Source organism: Homo sapiens, chromosome 1, assembly GCF_000001405.40.
Source record: "Homo sapiens chromosome 1, GRCh38.p14 Primary Assembly".
NCBI classification, from domain to species: Eukaryota; Metazoa; Chordata; class Mammalia; order Primates; family Hominidae; genus Homo; species Homo sapiens.
In genome coordinates this window covers 1,863,753-1,877,827 of record NC_000001.11, presented here as the reverse complement: position 1 = coordinate 1,877,827, position 14,075 = coordinate 1,863,753, and the positions used below count along the sequence as shown (strand labels likewise).

Genomic DNA, 14,075 nt, shown 5'->3' with positions numbered 1-14,075 from the left:
TTGCTATCTATTCTAGCCACTCTTCTTGTTTTTCTCTCTTTAAACTCCCCAACAGGCAGTCTGTTTCCATTGCCTCCACCATCTATCCTATCCTTTCTCTGGAGATCTTGTTCCTGTTGTCTCAGTTTTATTTTCAGCTTCTTCATTTTGCTAATAAAAACATCTAAAATGTTCATTGTAGTAAATTAGGGGCTTGGCATGGTGGCTCATGCCTGTAATCTTAGCACTTTGGGAGGCTGAGGCAGGAGAATCACTTGAGGCCAGGAGTTTGAGACCAGCCTGGGCAACACAGCTAGACCCTGTCTCTATTTTTAAAAAAATAAATAAAATTTTATAAAAAAGGGAAATTAGGAACATACAGCAAAAATCTATAATCTCTCAATCAGGAAATAACCATGTAAGATTATTATATTTCTTCTAGTGTTTTGTATCTCTCATGCATGTGTGTATAGAGATGTTTTTCCTCGGATTGGGGGTCCCACTCTGTGTGTGTGTGTATATATATATATATTTTTTTTTTTTTTTTTTTGAGACAGAGTCTCACTTATTGCCCAGGCTGGAGTGCAGAGGCGCGATCTCGGCTCATTGAAACCTCCACCTCCCCAGCTCAGGCGATTCTCCTGCCTCAGCCTCCTGAGTAGCTGGGATTACAGGCATACACCACCATGCCTGGCTAATTTTGTATTTTTAGTAGAGACGGGGTTTCACCATGTTGGTCAGGCTGGTCTCGAACTCCTGACCTCAAGTGATCCGCCCACCTTGGCCTCCCAAAGTGCTGAGATTACAGGCATGAGCCACCACGCCTGGCCTGTATATATAGATTTTTAAAATTGTGATTTTTCTACTTTGTAATTGTTTCCAAATGTCATTCATCTTGGAAAACATGAGTAGTAATTATGTAGATATCAGTGGTATTTCTTGTACCTGAATCCACGTGCTGGACATCCTGGTTCTGCCAACTCAGATTTGAGGTCTGGAGCAAGTTACTGAACGTCTCTACCTTAGTTTTCTTGTCTTCCAGGATTGTTGTGAGGACTGAATGACATGCTACAAATAAAATTCTTAGCTTCAAGCCAAGCAAGACCTCAAAGTGTTAGCTTCCAGTACCGCTACTACTGATGGTGTTTGACTCTGCCTTCATTCCTGAAATGCTTCTCCATTGACTGGGTGTGGTGGCTTATGCCTATGACACTTATCACTTTGGGAGGCTGAGGTGGGAAGATTGAGACCAGCCTAGGCAACATAGTGAGACCCCATTTTTGCATGTGTGTGCGCTTGCTCACTGGCTCGTGCACGTGGCCATGCACGCTCGCTCTCTCTCTCTCTCTCTCTCTCGTGTGCACATGCATGTCCTCTCTCTTGCTCTCTCTTTTTCTTAGCTGGGCCTGATGGTGTACACCTGTAGTCCCAGCTATCCAGGAGGCTAAGGTGGGAGGATTGCTTGAACCCAGGAGTTCGAGGCTGCAGTGACCTGATTGTACGACTGCACTCCAGCCCTGTCTCTATTAAAAAAAAACAAGTCCTTCTCCAAGCTGATCTGGGCACTTGATTTCTACCCTTGTGGTTCTGGCTTAGTAAAGGTCTTCAGAAATGACACAATGTTAGTTTCCTGTGGCTGCTGTAGCAAATCATCACAAGTTGGATGGCTCAGAATGAATTGATTCCCTCAGTTCTGGAGGACAGAAGTCTGAAATCAAGGTGTTGGCAGGGCCCCAGTGCTTCTGAAGGCTCCAAGGGAGGACACTTCCTTTCTTCTTTCTGGCTTCTGGTGGGTGCCAGCAGTGTGGCTTGTAGAGGAGTCACTCTCTACCTCTGTTTTACGTGGGCTTTTCTCAGTGTCTCTACTCACCTTATAAGGACATAGTTATTAGATTAGGGCCACCCTAATTCAGTATGACCTCGTTTTAACTTAACTAATCATACCTGGAAAGACGCTCCAAATAAGGTCACATTCCCAGGTTCCAGGTAGACATGAATTTTGGGGGGGGGGACACTGTTGAACCTGCTAAAGTTCCTAGAGCTTCATCCTTCGCCCCTTGTGTTTCTAGCTCTCTTGCCTTCCATGTCTTCCCATTCCCCTTGTGGCCAGCCTTGTGAAATGAAGTCTCTGTTGGAGGTTGAAGAAACTTGTAAGATAATTTACATAGAAAAAGGGGCCGGATGCAGTGGCTCACTCCTGTAAGCTCAGCACTTTGGGAGGCCAAGATGAGAGGATCACTTGAGCCCAGGAGTTTGAGGCTGCAATGAGCTATGATTGTGCCACTGCACTCCAACCTGTGACAGAGCAAGACCCCGCCTCTAAAACAAAACAAAATAGAAAAGGTAAAGTGTCCTTGGCCAGGTGTGATGGCTCACACCTGTAATCCCAGCACTTTGGGAGGCCACAGCGGGTGGATCACTTGAGGCCAGGAGTTTGAGACCAGCCTGACCAACATGTGAAAACCCCGTCTCTGCTAAAAACACAAAAGTTTAGTGGGGTGTGGTGGCGTGCACCTGTAGACCCAGCTACTTGGGAGACTGAGGCATGAGAATCACTTGAACTGGAGAGGTTGAGGTTGCAGTGAGCTGAGATCACACCACTACACTCCAGACTGGTAGGCAGAGCAAGACTTTGTCTCCAAAAAAAAAAAACCAGAAAAAGATAAAATGTCTTCTAAGCATGGGCCCCCAACTCCTGGGCTGTGGTCTCTTAGGAGCCGGGCTGCACAGCAGGTGAGAGGTGGGCAAGCGAGCATTCCCACCTGAGCTCCACCTCCTGTCAGATCAGCGGCAGTGTTAGATTCTCATAGGAGCGTGAACCCCGTCATGAACTGCACACGCGAGGGATGTAGGCTGTGCACTCCTTATGAGAATCTAATGCCTGATGATCTGAGGTGGAACAGTTTCATCCCAAAACCATCCCCTCTGTCTGTGGAAAAATTGTCCTTCACAAAACCGGTCCCTGGCATCAAAAAGGTTGGTGACCGCTGCTGTAAGGATTCTGGATGCTTCACAGAACGAAGCTCAGGAGGCACTTTTTTTTTGTCTTTTTTTTTTGAGACAGGGTGTCACTCTTTGTCACCCAGGCTGGACTGCAGTGGCACCATCTCAGCTCACTGCAACTCCGCCTCACAGGCTCAAGCAATTCTCCTGTCTCAGTCTCCCAAGTAGGTGGGACTACAGGCGTGTGCCAGCATGCCCAGCTAATTTTTGTACTTTTTTTTTTTTTTTTTTTTTTTTTTTAGATGGAGTCTTGCTCTGCTTCCCAGGCTGGAGTGCAGTGGTGCAGTCTCGTCTCACTGCAACCTCTGCCTCCAAGGTTCAAGCAGTTCTCCTGCCTCAGCCTCCCGAGTAGCTGGGACTACAGGTGCACACCGCCACGCCCGGCTTTCTCTGTACTTTGGTAGAGACGGGGTTTCACCGTGTTGCCCAGGCTGGTCTCCAACTCCTGAGCTTAGGCAGTCCGCCCGCCTCAGCCTCCCAAAGTGCTAGGATTACAGACACGCGTGAGCCACCACGCCCGGCCTAATTTTTGTATTTTTAGTAGAGACAGGGTTTTGCCATGTTGACCAGGCTGCTCTTGAATTCCTGGCCTCGTGATCTGCCTGCCTCGGCCTCCTAGAGTGCTGGGATTACAGGCGTGAGCCACCGCACCTGGCCAGGAGGCGCGTTGTGTTTATGCTTTGCTAGTCTTTCTTTTGTGGGAACTGAAGAGTGTTGTCCTCGGTAGCTTCCACAGGGATGGATCGAGGCTGCTGCCAGCATTTGTTCCACTGACTGTCCTTGGGGACCAGTAACCTAGATCAGAAGTCAATGAGAAGACATAAAGAATGCCTCCAAAGCAGGGAATCTTTCCTTCCCCTGTGAAAGTGCTGAGTCCCCTAGAGGCAGGTATGCGTTCCCTCTTGTATTTAGTCCCCACGCTGCCTGCCTGGATACATTGGTGGTTGTGACAGCTGGGGTGTGCCACAGGGATCCTGCTCCACCATGGAGAATTGTCCAGTCCAGCAGTCTCGGTGCCAAGTTTATTTAAGATGGAGTCTTGCTCTGTCGCCCAGGCTGGAGTGCAGTGGCACCATCTTGGCTCACTGTAACCTCTGCCTCTGGGGTTCAAGCAATTCTTCTGCCTCAGCCTCCTGAGTAGCTGGGATTACAGGTGACCCGCCCACCTCGGCCTCCCGAAGTGCTGGGATTGCAGGTGTGAGCCACTGCGTCCAGTCTCGGCGCCAAGTTTAAGAAGAGCATATTGTCATGGCCTTACATCAGTTATATGCTCCTGGGTAACAAACTACCCCAAAATGAAGCGACTTAAAACAGTAAGTCCTTGTTCATCATCATGTGGGAGTATGGATGTGGGCAGGGCTCATCTCTGTTCACTGTGCTGGCCACGCTAGCAAGGGCAATTAACAGTTGGCAGGTAGGCTGGCTTGTGCTTCCCATTGCCCTCACCCACATGGGCTTTCAGCCAGGGTGCCTCTGATCTCCTCAGCCTGCCTCTCCAACAGTCTAGCTCAGGCTTCCTCCCATAGTGGCTGAATTCCAAAAGGGCAGGAGCAGAGTTTGACAGGCTACTTGAGGACATGTTTAGAAGTCACAGTGTCACCTCTGTTGCATTCCCTTGCTTATTGCAAGTTATGAGGCCTAGCATAGGCCAGGAGTGCTGCCTCATGCCTGTAATCCCAGCCCTTTGGGAGGCCAAGGTGGGAGGATGGCTTGAGGCCAGGAGTTTGAAACCAGCCTGGACAACATAGTGAGACCGCATCTCTACCGAAAATGAAGAAAAAAAAAAAAACAAGGCTTAGCACAGGCTTGGAGAGTAGGAGATAGACTCTGGTCCTTAATGGTGGGACTTGCAGAAACCGTGGCCATTTTTCATCACAGCCTTTCCTATACTGTGTGACCTCAAGAACTTCCTGCTTTAGGATGCCCAGTTAATAATATGGTATCTGTGGGATGGAGTGAACTCTTTAACAAATATTTACCAAGTACTTACTTTGAGCAAGACACTGTGCTTGGTGATGGTTGAGTACCGAGAAGTTGCAACTGGTGGTTCATTCTCTGTGGGGAGATGGCGAACTGGAAGAAGCGAAGTTTGGGCCTGTGGTAGGTGCTGTGAGCTGTTGGGTGGAGAGGGCACTTGGTTTAGGGTATTGTTTAGGGTATTTAGAGTAAAGGCCTGAAGGATGAGAAGGAACCAGGTAGGCAAGGAGCCCCTATGCTTCAGGTGGAGAGGGCAGTGATTGCAGAGGCCCTGCGGAAGGGACAGCAGGCGAAGCTCAGCAGAGGTCCTGCGGAAGGGACAGCGGGTGAAGCTCAGCACACAGGAGCAAAGCTGTAGGGCAGAGGTAGGGGTGGAAGCCAGGCCTTGGCCACACGGCCTCAGGCAGGTGCCAGAGGCCCAGTTTGCCCAGGACAGTCTTGATTTATACCAGGTGAGGGTCCTCGTGCAGATGGTGCATTCTCTAGTTTCCAAACTGGCAGAGAGCTTGGATGTTTTCCTTGATGCAGTGGGAAGCCGTTGAAAAATTTTAAGCCTCAAGTGACAAAAGGTGAATTTTAAAAGATTGTTGAGGCTGGGTGCAGTGGTTCATGCTTATAGTCCTAACAGTTTGGGAGGTTGAGACAGGAAGATTGCTTGAGCCCAGGAGTTCAAGACTCTGTCTCTACTTAAAAGAAAAAATTAGCTGGGCATTGTAGCATACACTTGTAGTTCCAGCTACTGGGGAGGCTGAGGAGGGAGCATCGCTTCAGCCCAGGAGTTGGAGTTTGCAGTGAGCTATGATCACACAACTGTACTCGAGTCTGGGCAACAGAGCGAGACCCTGTCTTAAGAAAAAAAAAAAAAGAAAAAAGATTGTTCAGATTGCTGAATGAAAAATGGATTGTCGGGGGCACAGATTGAGACAGAGGTCATTTTAAGGAGACTGTTGATGAGAAATGGCGTGGTTTGGCTGAGGATGGAGACTAAGGAAATGGGAAGAAATGGGTGGTAGAGTCAGCCAGGTTGCTGATGGACCGGGTGTAGGGGAGTAGGGAAAGGAAGGAGGCCAGGATGATTTCTGTGTGTGCTTTGCACATGTAGAGGGTGGTGATGTTGAGCACTGAGGGGAGGCAAATCTGTTGGCTGTGCAGAGCCATGCCTTGAATATCTGAAGCTCAAAATGGGTATAGGGCAACTAAGTGCCAACCGCCGGCTAACAGCCTGTTGGCCTGGAGTCCAGTCTGGAAGTCTTGGTCTTTCTGTTTTTGTGATGGTCGGTGGAGGGGTTATTAAAAGGAGAGGTGGGGTGCCCAGCTATTAGAGGTTAGATCGAGGAGACACGGAGAGGTGGGATGTGACAGTGTAGGGTGCAGTTGAGGAGTCAGGTGAATGGGGGTGGGGAAAGGGTTCCCTTAAGTCTCACTCTGTTGCCGTGGCTGGAGTGCAGTAGCGCGATCTGGGCTCACTGCAACCTCCGCCTCCTACGTTCAAGCAATACTCCTGCCTCAGCCTCTTGAGTAGCTGAGATTATAGATGTGTGCCACCATGCCTGGCTAATTTTTGTATTTTTAATAGAGACGGGGTTTCACCATGTTGGTCACGCTGGTCTCTAACTCCTGGCCTTAAGTGATCCACCTGCCTCGGCCTTAATGTTATCCAAAATGCTGGGGTTACAGGTGTGAGCCACTGTACCTGGCCAAAGGTTCCTTAAATTTAAGGACTGCAGGTACTAGGTGGTCAGCCCTTTTGGTTTCACGGTAGGGAGTGAAAGCCAGATTGGAGTCAATTGAAACATAGGAGATGGAAGAGGAGACCACCTGTGTAGATACGACTTAAAGAAGGTTGCTCTAGAGGGCTCAGAGAAGGAGCTCAGTAGTTGGAGGGTGATGTGGGCAACAGTGGAGAGTTCTGTTTTTATTTTATTTTATTGTTTATTTTTTTGAGATGGAGTCTCTGTCGCCCAGGCTGGAGTGCAGTGGTGAAATCTTGGCTCACTCCACCTCCCAGGTTCAAGCGATTCTCCTGCCTCAGCCTCCCGAGTAGCTGGGATGACAGGTGTGTGCCACCACGCCCAGCTAATTTATTTTGCATTTTTAGTAGAGGTGGGGTTTCACCCTGTTGGTCAGGCTGGTCTTGAACTCCTGACCTCAGGTAATCCACTCACCTCTGCCTCCCAAAGTGCTAAAATGGCTTTTTATATCAGAAATGGGTTGAACTGGCTCTTGGCAGATGATTATTCTTACTGTAATTCCAGCAACGCTAACATGCGTAACAGCGCATAAGGAAGTGTCTGCTGAGCTCAGAATATTATGTTTTGGAAAAGACAAAGTGCGATTCAGAAAGCTGAGTTTGATAGGGAGGGATTTGATTTTTAAACAAGACGGGCTGATTATAGTGGCTTATAACTATAATCCCTGTAATCTCTGGATTTGGGGAGGCTGAGTTGCGAGGATCCCTTGAGGCCAGGAATTTTAGACCAGCCTGGGCACAATGTAGTGAGACCCTGTCTCTACAAAAAGTTTAAAAAACAAAATTAGCTGGGCATGGTGCCTGTAGTCCTAGCTACTGGGATGGCTGAGGCAGAAGGAGTTTGAGGTTACACTGAGTTATGATATGCCACTGTACTCCAGTCTGGGTGCCAGAGTGAGACCTTGTCTCAAAAAAGCAAAAACAAAACCCCACAAACAAAAACATAAGATTGTCTTTGGGCCTGGTGCGGTGGCTCACGCCTGTAATCCTAGCACTTTGGGAGGCCATGGCGGGCAGATCACTTGAGGTCAAGAGATCGAGACCAGCCTGGCCAATATGGTGAAACCCCGTCTCTACTAAAAACAAAAATTAGCTGAGCATGGTGGCGGGTGCCTATAATCCCAGCTACTCAGGAGGCTAAGGCAGGAGAATCTCTTGAACCCAGGAGGTGGAGGTTGCAGTGAGCCTAGATTGTACCACTACACTCCAGCCTGGGTGATGGAGTGAGATGTTGTCTCAAGAAAAAAAAAGAAAAGATTGTTTTTGAATCTGAAGACATAACAAAGCAGCATTACAAGTTGTGTTGTACAAGTGTGTTAGCGTAGGTTGTCCTTGATAAATGGAATATAAATAGCTCTGAAGTTTTTGTATATATTGACCTATTACAAAATCAGAGACTTTCTTTCGGGGTTGGGAGGGCAGTTTGAGGGTAGTTGGGTCATCTGGAAGAAGAGGCAGAAAAGAGGAACCAGCTACGTGATGAATAACTGTGATAAGACAAATAGGCTCCTCTACTGCCACCTCCTTGTTTTTTCCTGCTTACTATTTCTGTGGCTGTGATTGTTGGGATTCACGGGAGGAGGAAGCAGGGACAGTAGGAAAAGCTCCAGTTCCTGATGGACCTGTGTTGCTGGTGCTGCACTGCCTTTTCTCTGACTTCATCCCACCCACCTGAGAGACACTAAGGTGGGGGCTGAGGTCCACCCTGTAATTAAGCTCTTGGGCATGAATGGTTAGCTGAAACAAGACTGTCACCTTCTAGTGAAATTCTGTTTTTTGGATTCTTATAGAAGTCAGTAGTAAGTGTCTGAGATAATGAATGGTCAGATAACAACATAAAGGAGCAGTGGACTGACTAGAGCCTCTGGTCTTTGTAAGTTTGCTTCTTTTTTGTAAGTAACTTATTCTTTTTTTTTTTTTTTTTTTTTTTTTTGAGAAGGTGTCTTGCTCTGTTGCCCAGGCTGGAGTGCGGTGGTGTGATCTCAGCTCACTGCAAGCTCCGCCTCCTGGGTTCATGCCATTCTCCTGCCTCAGCCTCCCAGGTAGCTGGGACTACAGGTGCCCGCCACCACACCGGCTAATTTTTTTGTATTTTTTTAGTAGAGACGGGGTTTCACCTTGTTAGCCAAGATGGTCTTGATCTCCTGACCTCGTGGTCCGTCCACCTCAGCCTCCCAAAGTGTTGGGATTACAGGCATGAGTCACCACGCCTGGCTGTAAATAACTTATTCTTTATAGAAATTAACTTCAGAAGATTTTTTGAGTTCTTAGGCAAATACACTAATGGCATTTGTTTCATGATTGTTAGGCCTAAAACTTTTTCACTTTTTTTCTTTTTTGAGATGGAGTCTCACTCTGTCACCCAGGCTGGAGTGCAGTTGCACAATCTCGGCTCACTGCAACCTCCGCCTCCTGGGTTCAAGCAATTCTGCCTCAGCCTCCTGAGTAACTGGGATTACAGGTGCCCGCCACCATGCCTGGCTAATTTTTTTGTATTTTTAGTAGAGACGGGGTTTCACCATCTTGGCTAGGCTGGTCTTGAACTCCTGACCTCGTGATTCACCTGCCTCGGCCTCCCAAAGTGCTGGAATTACAGGCGTGAGCAACTGTGCCCGGCTAACTTTTTCACTTTTAAAAACGGGAAAACATGGCCAGGCACGGTGTCTCATGCTTGTAATCCCAGCGCTTTGGGAGGCTGAGGCAGGTCAATTGCCAGGAGTTTGAGACCAGCCTGGCCAACATGGTAAAACCCCATCTCTACTAAAAAATACAAAAATTAGTTGGATGTGGTGGCTCATGCCTGTAATCCCAGCTACGCGGGAGGCTGAGGCAGGAGAATTGCTCGAACCCGGGAGGCAGAGGTTGCAGCGAGCTGAGATCGCACCATTGCACTCCAGCCTGGGCAAAAAGAGCGAAACTCCGTCTCAAAAAAAAACAAAAAAACAAAACACACACTATATGAAGGAACCTTTAGATGCATTATTGAAGAGGTGAAAGAGAACTTGAATAGATAGACATAAATACAGAACTTGAATGCAGTATTCCTATATGCATGTGCTTGAATATTTTCAAGATGTCACTTGATTTGGAGAAGTAAATATTTGAGGGGAGTTCTAAAGAAAGAAAAGGGGGAACGTTTCCTAGTAGATTTTTTATAAGTATTATAGGTAAGTGGAACAAAGCAGTCTAGATACTGATCTATAAATTAATGGGAATTTATGATTAATGTAGCATTTACAATCAGTTGGGAATGGATGGTTTGTCATGTAAAAGGTATTGGATCAACTGGCAATCCAGCTGTAGGTAAAGAGTTTCTTAGTTTGACAATAAGGCTATAAGCTATGAAAAGATATCTGCTTAAGCATTCGGAACATATCTACAGCAAAAGATGCCTGTTTGGGGGCCTCTGAACTATAGTTCAAAGGCAGGAAAATTAGAAAAATGTTAGGAATATATATGATAAAGGGTTATTATTTTTAGTATAAAAGCATTTCTAAAATAATTGTTCCAGCAAGTCTATTTTTAGAAATTTATCCAAAGGAAGAAATAAGAGAATGCTTATTATAAAATTAGTTATAAAAGCCAAATATTTAAGACAGACAATGCTCAAAAACTCCTAGCTAGAATTTTTGGTATAAAAGCAAAAAATTGTCAGTAGCCACTAAAATATAAGCTCCATGAGGGTAGAGAACTTCATGTTTTATTTCCTGGTATATCCTCTGACAGTGCCTGGTACATAGTAGGTCTCAATAAATATTTGCTGTATGAATGCCTAGTCATGCTTGTCCAACCTGAGGCCTGTGGGCCGCATTGCAGCCCAACACAAATTTGTAAACTTTCTTAAAATGTTGTTTTTTGGTGGAGTTTCGCTCTTGCCAGGCTGGGGTGAAGTGGCCTGATCTCGGCTCACTGCAACCTCTGCCTCCCAGGTTCAAGCAATTCTTCTGCCTCAGCCTCCCGAGTAGCTGGGATTATAGGCGCCTACCACCATGCTTGGCTAATTTTTGTATTTTTAATAGAGATGGGGTTTCGCCATGTTGGCCAGGCTGGTCTCGAACTCCTGACCTCAGGCGACCTGCCCACCTCAGCCTCCCAAAGTGCTGGGATTATAGGCGTGAGCCACTGCACCCGGCCTAGAATTGAGGTTTTTTTGTTTGTTTGTTTTGAGATGGAGTCTCCCTGTGTGCCCCAGGTTGGAGTGCAGTGGCGCGATCTCAGCTCACTGCAAGCTCCGCCTCCCGGGTTGACGCCATTCTCCTGCCTCAGCCTCCTGAGTACCTGGGACTACAGGCGCCTGCCAACACACCCAGCTAATTTTTTGTATTTTTAGTAGAAACGGGGTTTCACCGTGTTAGCCAAGATGGTCTCGATCTCCTGACCTCGTGATCTGCCCATTTCGGCCTCCCAAAGTGCTGGGATTACAGGCGTGAGCCACCGCGCCCGGCCACATTGAGATTTTTTTTTAGCGATTTTTTTTTTTTTTAAGCTCATCAGCTATTACTAGTTAGTGTATTTTATGTGTGGCCCAAGACAGAATTCTCCAATGTGGCCCAGGGAAGCCAAAAGATTGGACACCCCTGGATGAATCTAAATGTCCATCAATAGATTGGTTAAATTAAGGCAGACTTGGAATGGCATACTGTGCAGTTGTTAAAAAGATTTAAGGTGGCCTTCCTTTATTGGCATGAAGAGATGACCACAATACAGTAAATGGTTGGGCATTTTGAATATGTATAGTTTGGGGAATATGGTATCATTTGATTGACTTGTGAAAAATTATGCACATATGTATCAAAGTCTGGAAGACATCCCTGTGAAACGTGGTATCTCATGGGGTGAATGGAGGAAAGGAACATACTGTTTTAAGATACTGTTTTCTGGCTGGGCGCAGTGGCGCACGCCTGTAATCTCAGCACTTTGAGAGACCAAGGCGGGTGGATCACCTGAGGTCAGGAGTTTGAGACCAGCCTGACCAAGATGGTGAAACCCTGTCTGTCTACTAAATAGAAAAAATTAGCTGGCCGTGGTGGTGCATGCCTGTAATCCCAGCTACTTGGGAGGCTGAGGCAGGAGAATCAGTTGAACCTCGGAGGCGGAAGTTGCAGTGAGCCAACGTTGCGCCATTGTACTCCAGCCTGGGCAACAAGAGTGAAACTCAAAAAAAAAAAAAATAAATAAATACTGTTTTCAAGGCCAGGCGTGGTCTCAAAAAACAACAACCAAAAAACAAAACTGTTTTCTCTTTATTTTTTGGAAAATTCGCCAAAGTCAGTGACAGAAAAAAGGAGTTATTTTTCATTTTGGAAGAAATGTGAAAGTGGATTATTTACATTTAAAAGTTTTAAAAGCTTTCTCAAGTTAGCATGACTGAAATGAGCACATTACAGGAATTTGTTTAAATCTGCCTTTTTAGGTACTGTAGTCTCCTGTTTCATAGACCTTGTAGTCATGTTTCTTGCTGTATCCTGTCACTGGATATTTTTGGATGCTGGTATTGTGAACATAACATAACTGTAATCCGGTAGTTCTTTTTGAGATGGAGTCTCACTCTGTTGCCCAGGTTGGAGTGCGGTGGCACAATCTTGGCTCACTGCGACCTCTGCTTCCCGGGTTCAAGCGATTCTCCTGCCTCAGCCTCCTGAGTAGCTGGGACTACAGGTGCCCGCCACCACACCTGGCCAATGTTTTGTATTTTTAGTAGAGATGGGGTTTCACCGTGTTAGCCAGGATGGTCTCGATCTCCTGACCTTGTGATCCGCCCTCCTCGGCCTCTCAGAGTGCTGGGATTACAGGCATGAGCCACAATGTGTTGCCTGTTTTTTTTTTTTGGTTTTTTTTTGTTTTTTTTTTGTTTTTTGAGATGGAGTCTCACTCTGTCACCCAGGCTGGAGTTCTGTGGCGTGATCTCTGCTCACTGCCACCTCTGCCTCCCGGGTTCATGCCATTCTCCTGCCTCAGCCTCCCGAGTTGCTGGGACTTCAGGTGCCCGCCACCACGCCTGGCTAATTTTTTGTATTTTTAGTAGAGATGAGGTTTCACCATGTTAGCCAGGATGGTCTCGATCTCCTGACCTTGTGATCTGCCCGCCTCAGCCTCCCAAAGTGCTGGGATTACAGGCATGAGCCACCACGCCTGGCCTGGCCTGGTAGTTTTTATAACAGATGTTAGATAGCAATACTCTTCATAACTCTGTACAAGGCAATCAGGCAAAACCAAAGGCCAAGTAAAATGTAATTGGTTAAGCTAATTGTAGCTGATGAAACCTTTACGTTTTGTGAAAGAGGAGATGTGCATCAGCAGCTGTAAGTGAGCACTCTAAGATGCAGTGAGTAAAAGGTGTTGGGAGATGAGCAACTAAAATATAACCTCTTAGTTATAAATTGCAGAACGAAGAATTTTACTCAGAGTACAAACTAGTGGAAAAAGTCTTTCGTATACTGGGTTTTTCAGAGTTCTTAGGCAAGATTATATAGTTTGATTTAAAGACCCAAAAATGTACTTCCTGGGGTGCAGGAATGTCAGGTTTCTGTTAGGTGGAACATGCTCCTCATGGCACAGAATTGGCTACATGAAGTTAACCTACAGGCCAGGTGGTAATCGGCAGGATGGGTCGGCCGGAGGGAATAACTTGTGATGATAGTGGGAGAAACCAGTATCATTGCGGCCGTTTTAACTACCTACTGTGTACTAGGCCCTATGCTATGAGCCAGAAGTTGCCACGCTACAGCCATCTCTTTCTGTGGCCCAGAAGCTAAGAATAGTTTTTTCGTGGGGTTTTCTTCTTTTTTTTTTTTTTTTTTTTTTGAGAGAGTCTTGCTCTTGTCACCCAGGCTGGAGTGCAGTGGCACGATCTTGGCACACTGCAACCTCCGCCTCCCAAGCAACTCTCTGCCTCAGCCTCCTGAATAGCTGGGATTACAGGTGCCTGCCACCACGCCTGGCTAATTTTTTTGTATATTTAGTAGAGACAGGGTTTCATCATCTTGGCCAGGCTGATCTTGAACTCCTGACCTCGTGATCCACCTGCCTCAGCCTCCCAAAGTGCTGGGATTACAGGTGTGAGCCACCACTCCTGGCAAATTTTTTAAATTTTGTTTTTTTGTTTTGTAGAGACAGGGTCCAACTATGTTGCCCAAACTGGATCCACCCGCCTTGGCCTTCCAAAATTTTAGGATTACAGGCGTGAGCCAGTGTGCCTGGCCCAGACCCTCTTGTTTTCAGTCACTGTGCAACACCACCTCCCACAGAAACATTGTTCTGTCCTATTCTTTAAAAAAATGTTATCAATTATGTGCTGCCATATACTACACTGAGAGTGGGGATTCAGTGCTTAAGCATAGGTAGGTTTTCTGAATTTTTCCAACTT

The 14,075-nt window shown here is 46.7% G+C and overlaps 1 protein-coding gene across 33 annotated transcripts in view, besides 1 other annotated feature; it reads left to right on the top strand.

The window, feature by feature from the left end:
• GNB1 (G protein subunit beta 1) overlaps positions 1 to 14,075 on the top strand; it is a 105,802-nt gene that overhangs the window by 13,260 nt on the left and 78,467 nt on the right. For 2 of the 33 annotated variants that reach the window (XM_047418045.1, XM_047418063.1), the window contains exon 3: positions 3,710 to 3,870. The exons of the other annotated variants lie outside the window; for them this stretch is intronic. The gene's annotated coding sequence lies outside the window, so the exon portion shown is untranslated. The remainder of the gene's footprint in view (positions 1 to 3,709; positions 3,871 to 14,075) is intronic. 33 annotated transcript variants of the gene reach the window in all.
• Positions 11,083 to 11,260: a silencer, noted in NCBI's record as "fragment chr1:1798007-1798184 (GRCh37/hg19 assembly coordinates)". NCBI's record gives its function as "represses an EF-1alpha promoter that drives an FKBP-Casp9 reporter gene in an ReSE screen in K562 erythroleukemia cells {active_cell/tissue: K562}" and the evidence as "EXISTENCE:reporter gene assay evidence [ECO:0000049][PMID:32094911]".